The sequence below is a fragment of the Homo sapiens genome, chromosome 1, assembly GCF_000001405.40.
Source record: "Homo sapiens chromosome 1, GRCh38.p14 Primary Assembly".
NCBI classification, from domain to species: domain Eukaryota; kingdom Metazoa; phylum Chordata; class Mammalia; order Primates; family Hominidae; genus Homo; species Homo sapiens.
This window is the reverse complement of record NC_000001.11, coordinates 112,448,755-112,472,436: the sequence shown is the minus strand read 5'-3', so window position 1 is coordinate 112,472,436 and position 23,682 is coordinate 112,448,755. Positions and strand designations below refer to the sequence as shown.

Below are 23,682 nucleotides of genomic sequence, written 5' to 3'. Positions count from 1 at the left end.
GCTAATGAGAACAGAAACTACTCCCAGTCCCATGAGATCTCTGAGTAGTTTCTTCTAATCCTTTTGGGTGGTTCTCTCATTGGTCTTGGGTAGTTTCCTCATACATTTGCTGATTAGCACTTAGTTGAAGACTCCAGGGGAGGCCTCTCACATCCTCTGGTGATCTCTCTCACTGAAGCTGTCTTACATCCAATACTCTTCCCTCCCAAGACTCCCAGCTTTACCTCCTGAACTTAAGGAGATCATGAGGCCATGCCTGGAATTCTCCTTCCTGTTGGGGGGCAATTATAAGACTCACTTTGTTTCCCATCTGTGTCCTTTGTTGTCTGATCGTCAATGTCTTTAATATATTTGGCTTAATGCTTAGTTTTTTTTTAGGTGTGAGAATAAATCCAGTTCCTGTTACTCTATTTTGAAGTCAGAAGTAGAATTCTTGAAAATAAAAAACCATATATCTATCTTTTGACTTCATACTCCTTGATTACATCTTCATATGTATGCTGCATTTATAATTATGTACACTGCATCACTGACCAGTTTCCTTGGCAAGAGATAAATTTTGTTTTGGCTAGGATTTAATAAGAAATTAATTGCCCACTTATAATTTTACACAGCTGAGAACTAGATGAATTTTCTATAGATGTGTTCTGGCTCCACATATTCCAAACTTGTTTCTCCTTTGCTTCCCACTTTACTTTTAGTGCCAGATACTACAGGGTATATTCCTAGAATACAACCTTTGGCACTGCTGCTTCATGTCATTATGTCAGGTCAGGCAGCACATGGATTGATGGGAGTATTCCTAGAAGCTATTCCTATTGGCGTGGCTAGCATAAACTCATGGAAGTGACGGCAAACCACAGAAATCTCTCAAAAAACTGAGATAGGGGTTCAAAATGGCTGACTAGAGACATTAGACACTCACTCTTTAAAGAAGGAATCAATAATTGTGAATAGATAATCATACCTCCAATAGAACATCTAGGAGAGAACACTGGAGTTCAACAGAGAAGTTATGGGAAATACCTGAGGCACAGATGGAGCAGGAAGTGAGTGGTCAACTCAGCCAAGGTTGGCGGTGAGAATCCCTCTGCTATACACATCCCTGCTGCAGACTGCTGCAGTCCTAACCATGAGAGAGCTCCTCTACCCATACAAACTCTGAGACTAGTGTGGGTGGTGGTCTGGAGGCCCTGTCAGGGCATCTCACCAGACAGGGGACTCATGCAGGGTCACATGCTTCCCCAAGACGTACGTGGCTGCAGCACAGCACCATTGTGAAAGCACAGCCACCACTGGACTGCATCCTGCCCTGGGAACCACACCCTCCTATGTCCACATTTCAGAATCCCCCACTGATGTCCCTTAGTGTCCACTCAGAGGGTTACAGTGGCACAGCACTGGCTGGACCCAAATGTGCACAGGGTCCCCAGTACCCTGGCCCACATGAACTACTACTCCTCAGGAAAAGGATGGTGCCACACACCAAGGAGGAAGCCCCTGGGACACAGTCACAGTAAGCCAGAGCAGACACTTTCCAGACCCTGTGAGAGCGACCTTGCCCCCAGCAGTGGCACAGACTCTATTCTGGGGCTCATAATCGGAAAGTGGAATTCCTTCCACCCATCCCACCGCCTCCCCTTCCTCCCCCACACCCACACAAATGCAGCAGTTGCTGCCACCAGGAGCCCAAGTGGGTGAGCCTGAGAGCTGACTGTCTGGGGCCTGGGCAGTGACCCTACCCCCACTGGTGGAGCAGCCTCAGTGCTTAGGCTCATGCATAGAGAGCGGACGCCTTTCCCCCATTTGTACACCATAGCAGCATGATTTATTATTTATTTATTTATTTAGAGACGAGTCTCACTCTGCCACCCAGGCTGGAGTGCAGTGGCGTGATCTTGACTCACTGCAACGTCTGCCTCCTGGGCTCAAGTGATCTCACACCTCAGCCTGCCAAGTAGCTGGGACTACAGGTGTGCACCATCACACCTGGCTAATTTTTATATTTTCAGCAAAAATGGGCTTTCACCATATTGGCCAGGCTGGTCTCAAACTCCCGTCCTCAGGTGATCCACCCGCCTCAGCCTCCCAAAGTGCTGGAATTACAAGGGTGAGCCATCGCACCCCGCTGAGAGTGGCATGATATATTTAAAGTGCTGAAGGAAAAAACTTTTACCCTAGAAAATTATATCTGGTGAAATTATCCTTCAAACATGAAGGAGAAATAAAGACTTTCCCAGAAAAACAAAAGCTGAGGAATTTCATCAACACCAGACCTGTCCTACAAGAAATGCTAAAAAGAGTTCTTCAATCTGAAAGAAAAGGTCATTGAGCAATCAAAAATTATCCGAAGGTACAAAACTCACTGGTAATAGGAAGTACACAGAAAAACACAGAATATCATAACACTGTAATTGTGGTGTGTAAACTACTCATATCTTGAGTAGAATGACTAAAAGATGAGCTACTCAGAAATAATAATCACAACAATTTTTGAAGACATAGTACAAGAAGATATAAATAGGCCGGGTACGGCGACTCACACCTGTAATCCCAGCACTTTGGGAGGCCAAGATAGGTAGATCACCTGAGGTTGGGAGTTTGAGACCAGCCTGGCTAACACGGTGAAACCCCATCTCTACTAAAAATACAAAAATTAGCCAGGCATGGTGGCATGTGCCTGTAATCCCAGCTACTCGGGAAGCTGAGGCAGGAGAATAGCTTGAACCTGGGAGACGGAGGTTGTAGTGAGCTGAGATCGCACACTGCACTCTAGCCTGGGTGACAGAGCTCCGTCTCAAAAAAAAAAAGGAAAGAAATCTGATTTACAATAGCTAAAAAACAAACAAACAAACAACAAAAAACCTAGGAATAAACTTAACTAAGTAGGTGAAAGATCTCTACAAGGTATACTACATAAAACTGATGAACAAAATTCAAGATGACACAAACAAATGGAAAGGCATTCCATGCTCATGGACTAGTATAATTAGTATTATTAAAATGACCATACTGCTTGCAGCAATCTACAGATTCAACGCAATCCCCATCAAAATACCAATGTCATTTTCCGCAGAATAGAAAAAAAATACTAAAATTTGTATGGAACCAAAAAAGAGCCAGAATAGCCAATGTAATCCTGAGCAAAAACAATAAAGTGGATATATCACACTATCTTCAGATGTGTCTTCAGAGTCACTTCTTGACTCACTTCAAAATGGATTACATGGCTTTAGTAACCAAATCAGGATGGTATTGGTATAAAAGCAGACACATAGACCAATGGAACAGAATTGAAAACTCAGAAATAAATCCACATATTTACAGCTAACTCATCTTCAACAAATCACCAAGGACATACAATGGGGAAAGAACACCCTCTTCAATAAATGGTGCTGGGAAAACTGAATAACCATATGCACAAGAATGCAACTGGATTCCTATCTTTCACTATATACAGAAGACAACTGAAGATGGATTAAGAATTTTAATGTAAGATGGAAAACTATAAAACTACTAGAAGAAAACATAAGAAAAACTCTTCAGGGCATTGGTCTAGGCAAAGATTTTATGGCCAAGACCTCAAAAGCACAGGCAACAAAACGAAAAATAGACAAATAGGACTGTATTAAATGGAAAAACTTCTATGTAGCAGAAGAAACAATCAACAGAGTAAAGAGACAACCTCTTGAATGGGAGAAAATATTTGCTAACTACTCATGCAACAGGTGACTAATTCCAGAATATACAAGGAACTCAAACAACTAAACAATAAATAATAATAATAATAATAATCCCATTAAAATGGGAAACTGGCATGAATAGACATTTCTCAAATGAAGACTGACAAATGGCCAATGGATACATGAAAAAATGCTCAATGTCATGAATCATTAGGGAAGTGCAAAACAAAACCAAAATGAGATATCGTCTTACCCCAGTTAGAATGGCTATTATAAAGAAGAAAAAAATAACAGAGGCTGATGAGGGCGCAGAGAACAGGGAACTCTTATACACTGATGGTGGGAATGTAAATTAGTACAACCACTATGGAAAACAATATGGAGATTTATTAAAACCTAAAAATAGAACTACCATAATCCAGGAATCCTATTACTGGGTATCTAGCTAAAGGAAAATAAATAGTATATCAAAGGGATGCCTGCGTTCAGATGTGTATTACAGCACGACTCATGACAGCAAAGATATAAACCTAAGTGTCCATCAACGGATGAATGAATAGAGAAAACTTGGTATAGATACAAAATGGAATATTATTGGTCATAAAAAAGAATGAAATCAACTCATTTGCAGCCATAAGGATGGTGCTGGAAGTCACTATGTTAAATGAAATTAGCCAGGCACAGAAAGACAAATGCTGCATGTTCTTACTCATATGTGGGAGCTAAAAAACTTGACCTCATGGCCATAGAGAATAGAATGATAGATACCAGAGTCTGGGAAGGGTGGTTGGTGGGAGGGGAATGAAGAGAAGTTGATTAATGGTTACAAACATACAGTTAGATAGAAGAAATAAGTTCTAATGTTTGATAGCAGAATAGGGTGACTATACTTGGCAACAATACTTTGTATGTTTCAAAGTAACTAGAAGAGAGGACTTGAAATGATACCAACACATAGAAATGATAAATACTCAAGGTGATGGATACCCCAAATATCCTGACTTGACCATTATACATACTACGTGTATAACAAGCTTGACCATTATACATACTACGTATATGATCATATATACCCCATAAATATGTAAAGTATTATGTATCGAGAAGAAAAGGAGAAAATTAGGTACAAGTATTAAATAAAGTAGTGCTTCATTCAACTTACTTTTAGTTGAATTCCAAAAATGCTTATGGCTACCACTCCAAGGCCATCCAACATGTGGGAAAGTGTGATATAGGAGAAAGAGTGAAAGGAGACAGCAGTGTTAACAGATTGCAGTTAAGATTTAATCTTATTTTGCAAATTTTACAACCACATTGCTTGGGCTCTTCAGGGTTTGGAAGGGGCCATGCCAGTGATGGGCCTCGAAGCTTAAACCTCATTAGCTTCTTGGTAAATGTGCCTGTGCTCATGATGCTCCTCAATTCAGGCTTCCAGTGGCCCACCAAATAAGGGCACAAATTCTTTGCCTGGGCAGACCATGCCCTTTCCTGTCGAGTTCCTGCTTACTTCTCCTGATCTAGACTTCCATCCCAGGCTTCTCACCAGAAACACGGTGCCTGCTGGCAACTTGGTGCACTGTATATGCTATCCTCATTCCTTGGAATGCCCTTCATTCTCTTCTTCACCTGGGAGCATCTACCTCTCCTTCAAGACCAAGACAAGTGTCCCTTCCTCTGTGAGACCTTTCCTGACTCCACTGGGGGTTAACTGTGCAGCCACAGCTTGTTGCTCTATTTATTATAATCCACATAACACTGCGTTTCATGTTTGTCTCTCCCACCAGCACCTAAAATCCCTAAAGGCCTGTAACTTATTTCTCTATCCTAGTGCCTATCACAGTGCCTGGCACCTAGTAGGAACTGTGGCATGGATATTTCAATGAAGAAAATCTCTTTGTTTTCCTCCCAGAGTGCTGGCTCTTGCTTGCTTACTTGGCTTATTATGGGTTTTGTATTTTACAGCATCGACAGTATAAAAAGAGCAAGACATTTCTGAAGCATAATTAAATGGATGAATGCATAAATAGATAGAATCCTCCTGGCCCCTTTTTAACAGTTATGAGCATCTACTATATGTCAGCCACTGTTCTAGGAGCTACATAATACTAATAGCTATCACTTTTTGAAGGCTTATGTCAATGACCAGTTTTAAGTCTTAAATTTGCTCATTTAAGGCTCACAACAATGCTGTGAGGTGGTTTCTGTTCTCTGTTTTTTTTTACGCAGTCTAGGCTTCGTTCCGCTTTTCAGGCAGGGTAAGCTGCTGTGCTCCGAACTTAGACACCAGGGAGGCGGCTGAGCACGGGGACGAGAGGAGGCGCATCCTCGTTTACGCCGGCGTCTGAAGTGGGCCCCTTCCTGGCCACTGACCCTGTCCTTCCCTCAGAGAGGTGGCGCGCGGCCAGACCTCGGTCGTGAGAGATTCACAGCATGTGAAACACCAGGGGGCGCAAGTAAGTCAGCTTTCCGAAGAAGGGCGGGGCTGCCAGCCCGGAGTAGCCCGTCGGGCACGTTGCAGCCGGGCCTTGGCGTCAGAACCACATGGCTTCCAATCTAGACAAGCAACTTCTATCACCGCCCCTTCACCCACAGCGCCGCTCCACAAAGGGAGCAGCAAACCCATGGAGTTCTTACTATGTGCTAGGCACGTGCCTGCTTTATCTCACGGGATTCTCACAAAACCCTGAGAGGGAGGTTCCCATCTTTATTTTACTGATGCTGAGATGGAGGGTGGCGGAGGTTCACTCACTCGTCCAAGGTTGCGCACGGACCGACAAAGCTCCTGTTCTGAACTGCTTTTCTTGCTCAGACTCCTTGCTGTAGTGTACCCAGAACCCTATCAATGCAAACCGATCTCCTTCTCCCTTTTATTTAAAGCAGGTGCTTCTTAAGTCTCTAGACCCGCGGGTTTCCAGCTCTCCTGAATCTTAGGGGCCCCATCCCTCATTTGGAACACTTGTAATATCCTGCCCTGCACAACCCTGAGAGTCACCTCTTTGAGACATGTTTCTCCACCAGAGTGTAAATGCCAGCCCTTAGCATGATGCTTGCTTGACACAGAGTCAGTACTTAATAACTATATGCTGAATAGATGAAGGGCAAGCACAGCGAGTGTGTGGTGTGTGTCCCCTTCTCAAGCTGGCTGAGGTCTGCACGGAGCCAGAAGCAATAAAACCGGTTGAGTATGTGAATAAGGATTTGTTGGTGTAACATTTCTATGTTGTTCTACCTCCTGTATGTTTGTATCCAGCTGGGCCTGCAAACTCTCAAAAGGCAAGGATGAGGAGTGTGTGTGTGTGTGTGTGTGTTGGGTGGGTTGTTGGGGGAAAGTGAGGCGGCACAGGGCAGGGAGCAGAGCTTTCCCATGGTGAGAATAAGGCCCACATAGAGAATGAAGGAGTGAGAGATGCCAAGATCTGAGTAGAGGGGAAGGAAAACGAGCCCTGAATAGTAGCCTTGTGTGTGGCCCTGTGGCTCTGACTCACCAAGACTCAGGAGAAGGAAAACACGCTAGGGATGAAGAAGGGGCCTGTGTGCTTTGGTCGCCACCCCTAAACTACCCCACCACCCCGAATCCCTTTGGATCAGGGTCTTCCTGAGGACACCCTGTCTGCTCAGAGGCACAAACCATCCTAGAAGGCTTTGATTTGGGTTGGGTGGGCTGAGGGAGCGGGGGAGTGGGAGGGTGGGCACTAGAGAGAAGGGAAATGGATAAGTCCTTTAAAAACGCAAAAGCCCCTTCCCAGCAGAGCTGTTATGTTTGAGTTCAGGTGCGGAAGGCGTCGGAGGAGGAGGAGGTGTCTCCCCTCAAGCATTCAGTTGTTCCCTCCTCCACAAGCAGGTGTGGCAAGTCAGACTCCCGAGCAGGGAGGGGCTAGATGCTCAGGACTTTGGTGGCATCTTGTCCATGCCTGACCTGAGGAGCAAGACATGCCTGATGAGTGCTTCCCAGAGCTGGTTCTAGACAGATGGAGGCACGGCCTGGGAAGAGAAGCCCCACCATGCTCCCCCCTCCTACCCTTGCTCCAGCCGTCAAACCTGTTCAGAGACATGAGGACAGGATTTTTGTGGCAACAAGTGTGGCAGGCAGACAGCCCTAGGCAGAGGGCAGGGCCTGGAATATGGGGCAGCCCAGGTGAACAAGATCAAAGCCAGACATGGTAGAGCAGGTGAGAGGGAAGGAGTGCCCCAGGGAGCAGCCAGGGCTGGGCTAGGAACTGCTGGTTTCAGGTCAGCTCGGGGAGGAGCAGTTGGCTGAGGCAGGATGAGGGAGCCGGACTTTCTGTACAGGCCAGGCCTTGCTGTGAACTAGACATGCACAATTGGGCCTGTCCCCTGGCCTTTCTAGGGCTCATTTTCCTCATCTCGATTATGAGGGTCTCCTCCATGATGAGCTCTAGCTCTAACATCTGATGACTCCACGTGTGTAGGGAAATCATCCTTTTCCTTTCTCTGCACCAAAACCCAATTCCTTCAGTATCTTGTTTCTAGCTGAAGGTCTCAAAGAAAGCTAGCTGATCAGTGGACTTATACTTGGGTATTTGACTGACAAAAAGTCAATATTCCAAACTCCCCAAATGTATTATTACTGTTTTGATACTATAGTGTGGCCAGCAGAAAGAGAGTGGACTTGAAAGCCAAATAGGGTTTCAACGATTGGAATCCCAGCTGACACTGAATCTCAGCTCTGCTGTAGGACCTTGGGCAATTTACTGTGTCTCAGCAGGAGTTAATGATCACATCTGTCAAGTAGGGATTATCTGCCTCTTTTCGTAGTTGTTGATTAAATGAAGTAACGTGTAAAATACCTGATTGAGAGCTTGGCACTATATAAATACTCAGAAAATGTGTCCTCCCTTCTTTAGAGGACTTCATCATGACCAAAGGAACAGAGTAGACTGAGATGGAGATTACGATGGAGATGGCTTACTTGGAAGTGCCCTTGGGATCCGCACCTAGGGCATGGAAGCAGGATGGGAGCAGGATTGGGCAGAGGGAGAAGTTGATCTGCAATATAGTCTCAATAAAGGTCTCAGGCAACTCTAAAGGGGGTTTTGAAGCTGAGATGAACCTTCGGAGTTCTCCTAATTTGGGACAAGAGGGTTAGTATAAACTCTACATCAATCAGTCTTTGTATTTTTTTTTTTTTTTGATACAGAGTTTTGCTCTGTCACCCAGACTGGAGTGCAGTGGCACAATCTTGGCTCACTGCAACCTCCACCTCCTGGGTTCATGCGATTCCCCTGCTTCAGCCTCCCAAGTAGCTGGGATTATAGGTCTGTGCCACGATGCCTGGCTTTTTTTTTTTAGTTAGTAGAGATGTGGTTTCACCATGTTGACCAGGCTAGTCTCGAACTCCTGACCTCAAGTGATCCACCTGCCTCAGTCTCCCAAAGTGCTGGGATTACAGGTGTCAGCCACCATGCCCAGTCTTTGTATTAATATATGAGCTGTCCAGGGAAGGAGCTGTGACTTTGGTCAAGCTGATTTTCTTTCAGTGAAGGTAATTCCTATAAGGGGTTATATCTTGAGGGCCACTTACTGTCAGCATTCCCTGCACCTAGGGAATTAAATTTCACTCCTGAAAGGGAACCCATGTGGCACATCCTAGTGTCTAACACATTGAGTTAATGAGCAGGATTCTTGTCAGGTTAAACAGGTGACTCCCCAGAGATAAGGCCAATCTTGTTTTAACACTCCCCCCAGTAATTTCTCAGAACCAACAACTTCACAGTGGTGTGGACAGAGCCACATGTTGTATGCTCCTTGTGCTCCTCCAGTCTAACAGTGAAACAAACGCTGCCACTATTGGGAGAAGCTGCTGTCACATCCTTCGGAAGAAATAAGTCCCCTGCAAGTGTCCCAGAGGGACTCATTTGATTCTGTTCAAAGCTTAGTTTGCATTTTCCGCATTTGCTTATAGAGATTTAGAGGGTGTGAAAAAGGGAAATGGGTAGGAGAGGACATTGATGGGTAATATGGTACTTTGGCAACCAGGTCCTTTTTCAAACTGCCTTTTGCATGTTCCTAGATCTTCCCTACAAATTATTGGACAGTGTATTGCAGAATGCTGTGGCCTGGGAGCTCCTTCTTAGGTCAGCCCCAACCCTTGAAGAAAGCACCCACTGGTGTCTGTCAGTCTCCCTGAAACAGAACTCACCTCTTGGGGACGTCTTGTGCCTCCGTCTCTGACCTTATCCTAGAATCAAGACAAGCCAATTAAAACAAAAAGCAAACACAGGGACATGTTACAGAACTCCAAGTAAATAATGCCCTGGAGAGAGGAGAAAAGACATTCATTCCCTTTCTAGTTAATGTTTTCCTGCCCACAAAGAGCTCTGTTACCTCTGAGCTACCAGAGTGCTTTTACCAGAACCATCTTCAATAACTGTGTATGGTTTTTTTTTCTTAGACAGAGCCTTGCTCTGTCGCCCAGGCTGGAGTGCAGTGGCGCTATCTCGGCTCACTGCATGCTCCGCCTCCCGAGTTCACGCCATTCTCCTGCCTCAGCCTTCCGAGTAGCTGGGACTACAGGCGCCCGCTACCACACCCGGCTAATTTTTTGTATTTTTTAGTAGAGACGAGGTTTCACCGTGTTAGCCAGGATGGTCTCAATCTCCTGACCTCGTGATCCACCCGCCTCGGCCTCCCAAAGTGCTGGGATTACAGGCAAGAGCCACCGCGCCTGGCCCTCCCTGTGGTTTTTAAAAGCTCGCCTGCATTATTCTATCAAACTGTTGCCTCTGGACTCACTATGTATCATTTTGTTAATGTTTTGTTTCCCCAACTAGATTGTGAGTACCCTAAGGGCAGGGAACAGGATTAAACTTGTGTCTTCCCTAATAAGCACCTTGCTTTCTGGTTCATCTTAGATACTTAAAAAACATGTTGTTTGAGGGGAATTAATGATGTTTTATTTTTGTTCCATTTATCTGACCTGATGAAGGTCTCCTGGCATTGATTAGGTCTGATGATCCATTTCTGGGGTGGCTGTGGAGCAGCATGGTGTCCCGCATGCATTTTCTAAACTTGCTCTATCTGAAGAATCACCAAGGCATTTATCTAGAGCTCCACCTTTGCCTACTGAAATCAGAATCGCCAGGGGAGGAGCCTGGGAATCTGCTCCTCCCCAGAGACTCTCATTTGGGAAATACTGGTAGTGAAAGAACAAAGCACTAAGGTTTAAATCCTGGCTGTCATATGCTAAGGGCCCTTGCACAGATCTCTGGCCCTCAACTACCTCATCACTACACTGGGGATAATAATACCTCACAGCACCCGTGTGAGGATTAATAAGGTAATATGTATGTGAAATCATTAGCATGGTGCTTGGTACTCAAGTAGGCACTCTTGACTCTGAATATCACTGACATTCTGCCAAACCAGTTTCAGGAGCTTAAGACATTTCCTTAGGTCAGAGGCAAATAGCAAGTTGTTGTGAAAGAACAGGTAAGGGCTATGAAGGACTGTTTCTCAAAACAGACTAGCTGCATCAGCTAGTCTGAGGATCTAATCTCCAGAAATCTTTATTTTAGCAGGCTTCCCAGGTTATACTTACGCACAGTAAAGTTTGAGAACCACTACTCCAGTCTCCTTTCCCCTCCTTTATTTTTACTAATGAATTGGCCACTGATACACAAATGGTGGGTGGACAGGCTCTCATTTCTCAACTAGTTTTATAGAAATTAAATTAAAAATTATTCCTGTGGAACAATGCTCATTGCCCACTTCTGATTCATTAGGAAAACACATCCTATTTTGAAGCCAGTGTTTTGAAAGACAGTTGAAGTTCCATTTCAAGGACTAAGCATCAGAAGCACTCCTTATGAATTCACACACACACACACATACACACACACACACACAAATTGACAAGGCAGCACTGCTGACAGGCTATTAAGGGAAACCGGATATGCTAGTATTTGTTGAAATGATCATTAATTTGCTTAAATGCTGAAAACTTCAGATATGTAAACATCCACACTATTTGAACATTTTTTAGACATCAAAGGATTTTCAAGTGCTTCTCTCTGGCTTGCATTTGCTAACATTGCAGCAGCAACAGCGCTGGAGTAGTTGAAAAGGGATGCATTAATCATTTGTAAAATGAGAGAGCAGAACAAGATTATGCTTTCTTAAGCAGAAATACATGAGCCATGGATGGCTTCAGGGTCTTTGGATCCTATGAAGCCATCAAACAAATTTTGCATATAGGCATATTCATTTTTCTAGGGATAAACTCCATGGCTTTTCTAAGATTCTCAAAAAGGTCCAGAACCACCAAAAGGTTTAAAAAATCACAGACTGGATTATTGTAAAGGCTTTTTCCAGCTCTAAGACTCTAAAGAAAATCAATGTCTTAGTTCCTTATGGAGTCTAACCTGGATGGGTCATTGACTTCATTTGTTTTGTCAAAGCCACAGTCAAGTGCTCCCTCTACACCACCCCCTCTTCCCAACAAAATATGCCCAAATTGTGCCATTTTTCACTTTGTACAAACAAGACTATTTCCCCCCAAACAGCAAGATTTAACTTGTTTTAATGCAGTCTGCTATAAAAATGAAGACTTCTGCATGGTATATTTGGCTTTACAAACGTTAATGCCTAGTTAATGCTTGTGTTATATGGTACACATCATTACAATCTGTTGGCCAGTAACAGCTTTTGCAACATGGGTTAATACTAAAATTGTGAATCATGGAACTTTTACTTAGCACACACACACACAATCTACAGCAAACTTAAATACTAATCTATAATACCTAACTGGGTTATTGGATCCATTGCAAGATTGTGCTTATTTATCTCAGAAGGTAGGCAACTAGCAAAAATACACATTTCTTTCGCATATCCCCACCCCCATATTACACTGTAAAAGAAATACATTATTCAGTGCACTTCCTAAGAAATAAACTTCCTTATAGTATCTCTCTCTATATATATCTATCCCAAAACAAAGGAAGAGCACAATGCAACTTTTAAGATTACCATTTAAAGCAAAAGAGACAATAACTCTCTGGCACTGTAGCCTCCTCTCCAGTTTAGAAAGTTTAGCTATTTTATCAACACTATTCGTTTTGGCTCTGCATAGGAATAAAGTTCAATGCATGATTGCCTTGGACAGTTTAAGATACCCCCTACATCATTTTGATAGACACCTTGGGGCATTAGTAGCATTTTTATTTTTCATGTATTTGCCTTTATCAAACTATAAGCTGTGGAGTTGCCAATATACTCCATTGTGATTTATACACTGATTTCCATCACCTGCCTTTTTACTATCAACTCTTATTAGATTAAAAGGAAATAGACTTAAATTATAGCAGGAGGTCAGGGCTGCTGGATAGATGTTGGCTCAGAGAATGTATGTGAAGACACCAAGGCCTCTCCTGTATGGACACAAAATCATATAACCACTGTGTCTGAGCTGGGTTGTGGATAGTCTTATTTGGCAGAGGGGGATAGCCATTATATTCTATGAACCTTGCCAGCTGTACTGGCCTACACAGTTGGAAAGTTTGGAGGCTTTTGTCCGCATAGACTTGCTATGATGAAAATGACAGAAGTTTCTAGAATGAAAGAGGTTGCAACTTGGCAGCTTGCAAGCTAAATCCAGCTGCAGACGTGTTTGTTTAACCAGCACCATTTAAACATTTTAAAATCACTTCTTGATATTTAAAAATGAGAATGTTTCTCATGAAAATTTGGATTTCAAAAAATGTGAAGAACTGGTAATCCTGGTTTAGCATTCTTGCACCGCAGCAAGCAGATGGAGCTGAACAGATGCCCTTTTTAAATGCGGCTTGGGCACTTTAGTTTGCCACAGCTCCCACTGCTCCCAGCTGTTTTACATCGCTTGTGTGAGAGGCCTGTTTCACTCATTTATATGACCAGTTGAGTTTTGTGACACTGGGGTTAGTTTAGCTCTGCCTATTTATTTTTTTAATAGAGATGGGGTCTCACTATGTTGATGAGGCTGGTCTTGAACACCTGGTCTCAAGAGATCCTCCCATCTCAGCCTCCCAAAGTGATAAGATTACAGGCATGAGCCACTGTGCCTGGCCAGCTCTGCCTTTTTATGATACTGAAGATCTAGGCTTCATTTGGAATTTCCTCACCTTCCTGTGGACAAAATTCCTCCTTTGATTGTGTCCCAGCCACATCTAGTTGCTTCGGTAGGTAATCTTAATGTGCAGTTCTACTTGTCCTTTATGCTATATTGCAAACTCCAAAGATATAATCACACTAGTATTTATGTGTTTAAGTGTGTGTATGTTAAACATGTAAAGGGGTAATGTATCTATACAGATATATGTATACTTCCCATTTAAGCAAAAGTTAATTTGGTTTTACAGATACAGATACCAGGTTCTGGCAGCTTGGAGAATAAGTGTAACAATTTGGTAAAACTTGTATAATTCTGACTGACCTATAATATTACAGAGTGAATTTCAAGTTATTGCTTTTTGATTACAGAATAAAAAATTCATTCTCTTGCAAAACTTTTATACAGAATGAGTAACCATTTCCTATTCAAGTAACAGCAATCAGAATCAGAAGTTCCTTACACAACAGTAGATGCTTGAGACATTTTTTGAATGGAGATGTGATTTCATTCTGTTCAAGAACTTATGCAGGAAACTGGGAGTGACTTAATTTTTCAAAAGTACAAGAAAATCAGCACCCCAACTGCTTAGTGCTCAGGAGGGTTTCTCAAGGGCTCTATAAAGCTCAGCTTGTGGTGAGTTCACACCCACCTTTAGAAGGATTCCCATTCTACTTATGCAGCCTTGTTTCAGAACACAAAGCTTGTATTAAAACATTAAAAGAGGATTAAAAGCAGTGTTGGTTTTTAACATTCAGAATTCACAGAGGATCTCATTTTCTGTAATTAAATGATCTATTTTGTGTTTTTTGCTGCAGAATCACATTCATATGGCAGTCATATTTCAGGCACTTTTAAAACATGTTCATCTGGAATAAAAATCTGCATGAACCACTTCTGCATAATTCAAAATGAGTGTTGAGTGATTCTAGTTCTCAAATAGATAGCAAATCACCACCTGGTGATTCGCTTTCTTCATCACAACATGACGGTGACTGCTGAGCTTGAGACATCTTTGAGGTGCCTTTCTGGCTTCAGTAAAAAGATGTGAGCCATAAAAATCCAAACTACTCAGTTTCTACTTAAAAAAATACAAAATGGTGAAATATACTAAATGTATTATACAGATGGTTTCAGCTACTATCAAAATAAATAACATAATCTGACTCAGAAGTCTGACTGAGCTTTTGGACGAAATCTGATGGAATGTCAAACGTGGAGACTCCCTCCTAGGGACTAGCTGCTGGTAGGCAAAAGTAACTCAACATCCTTACCATTTGCTACAACAGTATTGGAAGAGCAGCTGCTGGCAAGGTCTTCTGCAGTGGTCAAAGAGGCTGCCTGGGAATGAGTTTTGGTCAATGGAGTGGTAGCAGATGGAGAAGGGGTGAGGCCAGGTTTCTTGGGTGGGATGGGTGGAGGGTTTCCTCTCTCAGCTCTGGGGATGGTTGGGGACTTGATTCCTGGAGACAGGGGGCTCAGGGGACTGGACACTTTCCCTGGAGTAGGTGAATGGCTTGTGTCACCTCTTGGATTGGCAGTGTTGGCTAGATTTCGATAGTCTGTGCCAAAGGGAGAGCTGTTGGGAGAGACTGGCTTGATTGGCCCTTGTTGGCTAGTGAATCTGGAGAGCACCTGAGTGACTGTGTTTCGGGCCAGCTGCTTGGCGGCAGAGTTGTCTATGAGGGTGGGGGATAAATCCCTGGATGGAGGGCTCTGTAGGCCACTGGCTTGTTGGTCCTGATCTGCTTGGGACTGAAATTTGTGGCGAGCTGCATGGAACCGTTGGTTGATCCCTACTTGGTACGATGACTGGTAGCCAGGGCTGCTAGCTGATGACCCCAATAAACGCTTAGTGAGTACCGGCGAAGAGCAAGGAGAGGATGTTAGAGAGGAGGAGGCAGTGCTGCTGGGAGACAGTGAGCTCCCACTGGAAGAGAGGGGACTGGGCATTGGGACTGGAGTCTCAATCCCCACAGGACACCCACCATTCTCCACTGGTTTCTCTTGGGCCAATGCCACAGATTTTTCCCGTGGAGGCACCTGGTTTTCTACATTGTTGCCTGCAGTCAGCTCCCTGGTAGTTTGTATCTCTGGGTCACAATGGCCATTGGTTTTTGCATATGAGTAAGCAGGAGTGGCAGGACCAGGCAGCCCAGTGTTTGTCATCTTGGCTATGTTGCTCCCATGGGTTCTTTCTGCTGGAAAACTCTCTGTTTGGCAAAACACAGACATTAGCATGAGAGGCTCAGTTGCTGTGCCTTTGGACACGGTTACTGGTTTCTTCAATTGCTCATTAGGGCTACTGTGCTGGTGGGAAGCCTCTAGGTCCTTCACTATCTTCTTTAAACTTTCCATTTCTTCTTTCAGGGTTTTGGTCCGGTTCTCTTCTCGGTTCAGTTTTGCTCTCAGTTGTTCCCTTTCGATGTCAAACTCTGATAACTGCTTCTCTACCTGGGCCTCAGTCTGCAAGCCTCTCTTTCTCTCAGCTGCCAACTCTTCTTCCAGTTTACTCACCCGGCTCTTCTCCTTCTCCAATTTCAGGCTCAGCTCTCCTGCCTTCTGTCCTTCCTCGGCTGCCTTGTTGGTGGCTTTCTTGCACTCAAGCACTAGCATGGATGAGAGCTGCTTGTGGCGGGAGCGCTCCTCTTCCAGCTGACTAGAGAGCTTCTTCTGTTCTTTTTCAAACTTTTTCACTTGGGATTTTTCAAATTCCAACTAGAAAAAAAAAGAAAAGAGAGACATACTGACAAACTGTGATCAAGTAGACTGTCTTCGTTAGCTGTTCTCTGGTATACAGGATTAACATGCACATCACAGTGCTTAGATCAAGTATTTCTGAAATTTTAGAACACCTAACACAAAAAATGCACACACTATGATTTAATCTTTCTTTGATGATTTGGGAGGCACTTCTAGTTCCCATACTGTCTTGCAGTGATTAGTGGGAATATGACGTATCTTTGTGTTTCACGTATGTGGAGAGCATCAGAACCAATCAAAACAAGATAACAGAAAGCTGTATCAACCACATTTTGTGATGAATGTTGCTGAAAACAAACATTTTAAAGTTTCAGCAATAATTTTCTTGGGTCTCAGAAACAAACACACACAAATAGTTGCATTTGAATCATACTTTTTTTTGGAGACTGAGTTTCACTCTTGTCTCCCAGGCTGGAGTGCAATGGTGCAATATTGGCTCACTGCAACCTCCGCCTTCTGGGTTCAAGCGATTCTCCTGCCTCAGCCTCCCGGGTAGCTGGGATCAGTCATGCGCCACCACACCCGCCTAATTTTGTATTTTTAGTAGAGACAGGGTTTTTCCATGTTGGTCAGGCTGGTCTCAAACTCCTGACCTTAGGTGATCCACCCACCTCGGCCTCCAAAAGTGCTGGGATTACAGGCGTGAACCACTGTGCCCAGCCTGAATCATATTTTTTACACAAATATAGCCTGTTTTAATTGTCTTCCCAACCCTATTTGAGGCAGAGACTCTGCGTGAGAGGGAAAGGGTTGAAGAAACTCAGTGTTTTTCAAACTCTGAGATCCATTAATGGATGGGGAAACTAACTGAGCCACGACTAGAATTTTAAAAAAATATATAAACAGAAAACATCAATGTGTACTGTAGCAGTAGGGGTTATATATGATTTCATGAGATTTTTGTTTCAGGCGTAACTGTGTATGTCTACATATACTGGGTTGTGACATAAAATGTCACTTCTTACTGGGGGTTCTAAGTCAAAAGTTTGAGAGCTACAAGCGCTAAGTTACCATTCCCCAAAGAGTGTTCTACGGAACAATAATAATCCCACAGTGAGGGATCTATGCCAATAAAAGATTTTATAAAACCATGGATTTGCTAAACACAGAATACCCTATCTTGTTCTTGAAGACTCACAATGTGCTTCTGCATACTAAAGATCCTAACAAAGTTAGAAACCTGTTTAACTTTGCTTAATCCAGTAGTTCCTAAACTTATTTGACCACAAAGCCCCTTTTCTGAACAATACCAGTTGGCATCCTGCAGAATAATCTTTGGGAAATGCTGTTCCAGGCAAATGCTACTGTGAATCCCTCTACCTTAATTACCTGTTGAGTCAGCCTCTCTCTTTCCTTCTCTAGCATGTAGGTGACATCATCTCCTTCAGCCGTATCCTGTGCATGCCGCTGCCTTTCTTCCTCAAGGTCTAGGATCACCTTTAAAGAATTTTTTAAATTTCATTTTCAAATATCAAGGAGTCACATTTATTAATACAACCAATAATAAGTGCCAAATCAGGCACCTTAGATAGTTCCAGAGATCAAACAAACAAACGAATAAATGAAACCCAGCAAGGGCTATCAAGGAGCACACTGCCTTACAGTGAAAGACATGAAAGCTCTGTGTTAAACAGTAAGATACTTACTTTACTTGAAGTATGTAGAGAATGATATGCAAACAGAGAGAAGAGAGCAACTAATTAGCTAGAGGGGTTGAGGAGGTGTCGAGAATTAACAGAAATTCCAAGAAACTGCAGGCAGTTTGGTGTTACTAGGGGCCAGGTGTAGGTGATGGAGCAAGACAGGACCACAGAAACCTGAAAGCTGAGATTTTCTTCTCAATTCTCAAATCACCAGAGGCACCAAAGAAGGAGCCTGAAATTCAACATTTCAAATAGGTGACATTCTAAGTGTGCCTTGTTTAACTAATAATATACATTTTTATATAGTTAGATAAGAGGTGGATAGACTCTCTTGACTTCCTACTGCATGTAAAAAGGCTCAAATATAGAGACCTTAAATGGAGATTTTTCATACGCCCTTTTATTTAACTTGCCTACCCCTATTTCACTTACCCTGGTGCCAAAGGATTAAGCCCAATTTTAAGGAGAAGACAAATATATTTATTTTTCGAGACAGGGTCTTGCTTTGTCACCCAGGCTGGACTGTAGTAGTGCAATCATGGCTCACTGCTGCCTTGGCCTCCCGAGCTCAAGAGATTCTCCCACCTCTCAGCCTCCCAAGTAGCTGGGACTACAGGTGTGCGCCACCACGCCCAGCTGATTTTAGTATTTTTTGTAGAGATGGGGTTTTGCCATCTTGCCCAGGCTGGTCTGGAACTCCTGGGCTCAAGTGATCCACCCGCCTCAGCCTCCCAAAATGCTGGGATTACAGGTGTGAGCCATCACACATGGCCAAGAATACAAATTTAAAGAGACATTTTTCACATAATCCCATCTACAACTGCAAATATTCTGATTGCTTAGTAGCTTCTGCTCATGCTTCAGAAGTGCCTTGGCCCAGACCTCCAGGGTAGAGCACTCTTGTCCCAAAGGCCATTTCTTAGTCTTCTCACTAAAAATTTTTATGAGTGAAGAGAGTAAATTTTCTGGGACATGAAACCTGTCTATAAAAATAAAAATGAGCTCATGCCTGTAATCCCAGCACTTTTGGGAGGCAGAGGCAGGAGGATTGCTTGAGCACAGGAGTTTGAGACCAGCCATTTATTTCTCCCTCTCCCTCTCCCTCCCCCACCCCCTTCCTTCCTTTTGAGGAGACAGGGTCTTACTCTCACCCAAGCTGAAATGCAGTGGCATCATCTCGGCTCACTGCAATCTTTGCCTCCTAGGCTCAAGTGATCCTCCCACCTCAGCCTCCTGAGCAGCTGAGACTACAGGCATACACCACTATGGCCTGCTGATTTTTTGTAGAAATGGGGTGTCGCCATGTTGCCCAGGCTGGTCTCAAACACCTGGACTCAAGTGGTCCTTCTGCCTCAGCTTCCCAAAGTGATGGGATTACAGGTGTGACCCACTGTGCCCAACCCAAAACCCCATTTCTACAAAAAAGTACAAAAATTAGCCAGGCATGGTGAGGTGTGCATGTAGTCCCAGCTACTCAGGAGGCTGAGGTGGAAGGATCACCTCAGCCCAGGGAGGTCGAGGTTGCAGTGAGCCATGATTATGCCGTTGCACTCCAGCCCAGGCAACGGAGTGAGACTTTGTCTCAAAAAAAAAAAAAGAGGCCAGGAGTGGTGGCTCATGCCTGTAATCTCAGCACTTTGGGAGGCCAAAGCAGGTGGATCACCTGAGGTTGGGAGTTCGAGACCAGCCTGACCAACATGGAGAAACCCTGTCTCTACTAAAAATACAAAATTAGCCAGGCATGGTGGCACATGCCTGTAATCCCAGCTACTCGGGAGGCTGAGGCAGGAGAATCGCTTGAACCCAGTAGGCAGAGGTTGTGGTGAGCCAAGATTGTGCCATTGCACTCCAGCCTGAGCAACAAGAGTGAAACTCTGTCTAAAAAAAAAAAAAAAAAAAAAAAAAAAGAAGAGACTGGTGCTGTGGTGTATGCTTGTAGTCCCAGATACTAGGGAGGCTGAGGTGGATCACTGGAGCCCAAGAGTTCCAGGCTATAGGGTGCTATGATCGCACCTGTTAATAGCCACTGTACTCCCGCCCAGGCAACACAGCGAGACCCTGTCTCTCAAAATAAATGAAAGAAAAAAAATTTGGCACATTTCCTTTTTTTAATCTAATTTTTCAATTTAATAGAAAGACATGCTTTTGGCCAAAAGTGGTAAGTCTTATCTTCTCCCTTTTGGGAGTCCTCAAAAATTACAGAAATGGAATAAAAAGACTAAAACCCCACAAAGGAGAGAGCCTCTAGCAGAGAAAAAATTTTAATAATATTTTGAAGAAGAAAAGAGGCTGGAGTTGTGGTAACTACTTTACTTTGAAGGAGGGAAGCTGTTTTGCCTTGCAGAGCCCCAAAGAGATGGAACCTGGAGGTGGCAGGTACTGCAGAGGAGAGGTGAAATGTAGAATAGAAAACAGGAGAACTGGCTCAAAGCCTGTTTTTTTGTTTGTTTGTTTTGTGTTTTTTTTTTTTTTTTTGAGACAGTCTTGCTCTGTCACCCAAGCTGGATTACAGTGGTGTGATCTCAGCTCACTGCAACCTCCACCTCCTGGGCTCAAGCTATTCTTCTGCCTCAGCCTCCCGAGTAGCTGGGATTACAGGAACGCCACCATGCCTGGCTAATTTTTGTATTTTTAGCAGAGATGGGGTTTCACCATGTTGGCTGGCCTGGCCTCGAACTCCTGACCTCAAGTGATCTGCCTGTCTTGGCCTCCCAAAGTGCTGGGATTACAGGCATGAGTCACTGTGTCTGGCCTTCAAAGCCTGTATTTTCAGAATTATTTGTCCCTTCACCCTGATTCCTGCACACAGACCATCAGCATCTGGCCTCTGTCACATCTACTATTCCCAAATCCTGAGCCTGTCACATTCAAGAAATAGTGTGACAGGCTCAGGATTTGGGAATAGTAGATGTGACAGAGAATGGTGGTGGGAAAAGAGGATTAAATTTGTTCTGGGTAAGGGTTAAGGAGAGGAAAGGGAGGCGGGGTGTAAGATAACTAAATCTGCACCTATATAAAAGAAAGTAATATAAATGTCTAAAATTGATAAAGCAAGAGAGAACAGTGCAGTATTTAGAAATATGGAGGTTAGCTACCAAAGTGAATGGCTAAAAGAAAAAACTGGTTGCCTGTGAATACTGGGGAGGATGGGGAATGAGAAGAGGTGGAATAGAAAACTGTTTTTCATTGTAAGCACAATGACCATGTAATTTATTATTCAAACCAGAACATTTCTGACAGTCAAAGGGAATATGGTTAATAACTAAGCCAAGGTGACAGGCATAAGCTGAGACTATGAGCACCCTAATTATAAGCCTCTAGGTACTGTTTGATTTCTAACAAAGTCAGTCTTCTACTTTGATAAACCACTTAAACTTGAACCTGGGAGGTGGTGGTTGCAGTGAGCCAAGATTGTACCACTGCACTCCAGCCTGGGTGACAGAGTGAGACTTCACCTCAAAAAAAAAAAAAAAAAGAATAGATAGGTACTTTGTTTCAAAAATTTAATATTCACTTAAAACATTTAGCACTGCAATATAGTATTAAGAAATTTTGAATTATTTTTAACTTCTTCCTCTCTCCAATCACCTAGAAACACAAACTGTCCCTAGTACACCTTCCATGGGCATGAAAGCTAGCCCAACTAGCTTCAACACAACTCAGTCACCTCATGGATGAAGTGGAAATAAAGCCTGCCTATTAAACAAGAATGTTGTGAAGATTTTTAGAGAATTATGTAAAAGCTCCCCCTCCACCCAATTTAGGCAACTAACTCCCACCCACTGATACCTTTTAAATTGGAGTGTAAATGTTTTCAGATTACTTCATTCTAACCAGAGGTTAAACATTTTTGGGTCTTGGGTAACTTGGAGAATCTGATTAAAGCTATGGAAAAAATACATTTCCTACAAAAATGCATAAACTCTGAACATTCTGTCTATTTTCTGGGGGACTGTGGAACATCTGAGGCCTATCCATGGTTAAGAAGTTCCACTCTGGCCTTTCATTTGGCTTCTGTGAAGGGAAAGAAAAGATCACGGGCAAGATCCAGAGCCTAGAAAATGTATCAGATGCAATTTAAGAAGATGGCTCTAATGCTGATAACCATAAAAGTAAGGTCCACCAAATTTTGCAGCTGCTAACCCTATTTTTCAGATGAAAATGTTTCCTACCAAATGCACTGATAACTGCCTTGTTGGCATAAATCTAAACTGACAGTGTTTTAAAAATGAAGATTGTAGCCAAGCATCTTTTACAGGCCAAATTTGAGGAGTAAATGACAAGATGACAAGTTGGTGAATAAATTCACAAGCACTAGAATTCCAGTAAGATGAAGCAGAGGAAAGCACAGGTTTGCCTTCTTAGGGCTTGTTAGAAATGGAAACACACACACACACTCTTTACTAATAGGGTAGAACAGCTTTAAAGTAAATACTGTAAATAACCATAAGGTTTGCCTTCCTATTTTAGGGCTTGTTAAATATGGAAAACACACACACACACACACACACACACCCCTCACTAATAGAGTAGAACACCTTTAAGGTAAATAAACCAAGGGACTGTTTATGGTTTCATGAGCAACAAAATGCAATGAAACTCAAAACTAGGAATAATAGGAATAAATGAAAATAATCTATTGGCTTCTGTGTTTATCCTCAGGTAAATTCTTTCTCTCCCTTGGATATAGCATGCCTCAAATACCTGTTAATCTTTTTATTTATCTCTTAAGTAAGCAAATAGAGAACACTCCCGTCAGCTACAAGCTTGGCCAAACCCCAAAGTTTGAATGATCAAGAACTGAAAAAACATACAAAGTGTTTTGGAGTGACATATCAAGAAGAAATGCTGTCTTAAATAACGTGTCTGGCACGTTCTCTAAACTTAACATTTGCAATAAGCTGTGTTTTCTTTTTTATCTCCTGGCTCTTACATAAACTAAGGGGCTTTTTGATACCCGTGAGATGTCCCAATTGAATTACTGTGAAAAACTGGCAGCTGACAAGAAAGTATCAGGCATAATTTATAAAGACTTCACAAAGATTTACACATCAACTGAGGTGAACCTACCTTTCGGTGCCTGCTCTCAGCAGCAGCCAGCTGGGACAGCATGCGCTCCTGCATGTTCTTGCACTGCTTCATCACAACCTTAAGAATAGAGAGTGGATTTGTGCAGACTGGCTGCTTTTCGCCATCATTTTTCTCCTTCAGTGTTTCAAAATCTCTCTGTAGAGCCATTAAAGGATCACTGATGTTATATTTTCCATAGCGTTCTTCAATGAAAGTATCTCTGTGTTGGGCCTGGGAAAGAGGAAAAAAAATAAGCATCTTGCTTTTTAAAACTACTGAGGAAGGGGGATTTGCTATCCAGTGGTTATACATTAAAGGTTGTGGTATTAGTATAAATGTAACCTACTAATTACAAGTCAGATTGAGCCATCTAAAGAAACAGCATTAGAAAGGTGGCATGGTATATTAACAAGAACAA

General features: G+C 43.1%; 2 protein-coding genes and 1 non-coding gene across 7 annotated transcripts in view, besides 2 other annotated features; 1 reads left to right on the top strand and 2 right to left on the bottom strand.

Annotated features, from left to right (window-relative positions):
- WNT2B (Wnt family member 2B) overlaps positions 1-5,896 on the bottom strand; it is a 63,625-nt gene extending 57,729 nt beyond the window's left edge. For both annotated transcript variants that reach the window (NM_004185.4, NM_001291880.1), the window contains exon 1: positions 4,846-5,896. In NM_004185.4, the coding sequence (NP_004176.2) occupies positions 4,846-4,899 (54 nt within the window). In that variant the 5' untranslated portion in view covers positions 4,900-5,896. The remainder of the gene's footprint in view (positions 1-4,845) is intronic.
- Positions 5,732-6,011: an enhancer, noted in NCBI's record as "active region_1513". NCBI's record gives its function as "activates an Ori minimal core promoter by ATAC-STARR-seq in GM12878 lymphoblastoid cells {active_cell/tissue: GM12878}" and the evidence as "EXISTENCE:reporter gene assay evidence [ECO:0000049][PMID:35858748]".
- Positions 6,192-6,291: an enhancer, noted in NCBI's record as "active region_1512". NCBI's record gives its function as "activates an Ori minimal core promoter by ATAC-STARR-seq in GM12878 lymphoblastoid cells {active_cell/tissue: GM12878}" and the evidence as "EXISTENCE:reporter gene assay evidence [ECO:0000049][PMID:35858748]".
- MIR4256 (microRNA 4256) lies at positions 10,604-10,667 on the top strand. The gene has a single exon (NR_036210.1). It is a non-coding gene; the product is annotated as a microRNA 4256 (primary transcript).
- Positions 11,273-23,682, bottom strand: part of CTTNBP2NL (CTTNBP2 N-terminal like) — a 70,078-nt gene continuing 57,668 nt past the window's right edge. For all 4 annotated transcript variants that reach the window (XM_017001806.2, XM_011541781.3, NM_018704.3 and 1 more), the window contains exons 4-6: positions 23,265-23,495; positions 17,881-17,988; positions 11,273-16,506 (exon numbers count right to left, since the gene is read on the bottom strand). In XM_017001806.2, the coding sequence (XP_016857295.1) occupies positions 15,025-16,506; positions 17,881-17,988; positions 23,265-23,495 (1,821 nt within the window). In that variant the 3' untranslated portion in view covers positions 11,273-15,024. The remainder of the gene's footprint in view (positions 16,507-17,880; positions 17,989-23,264; positions 23,496-23,682) is intronic.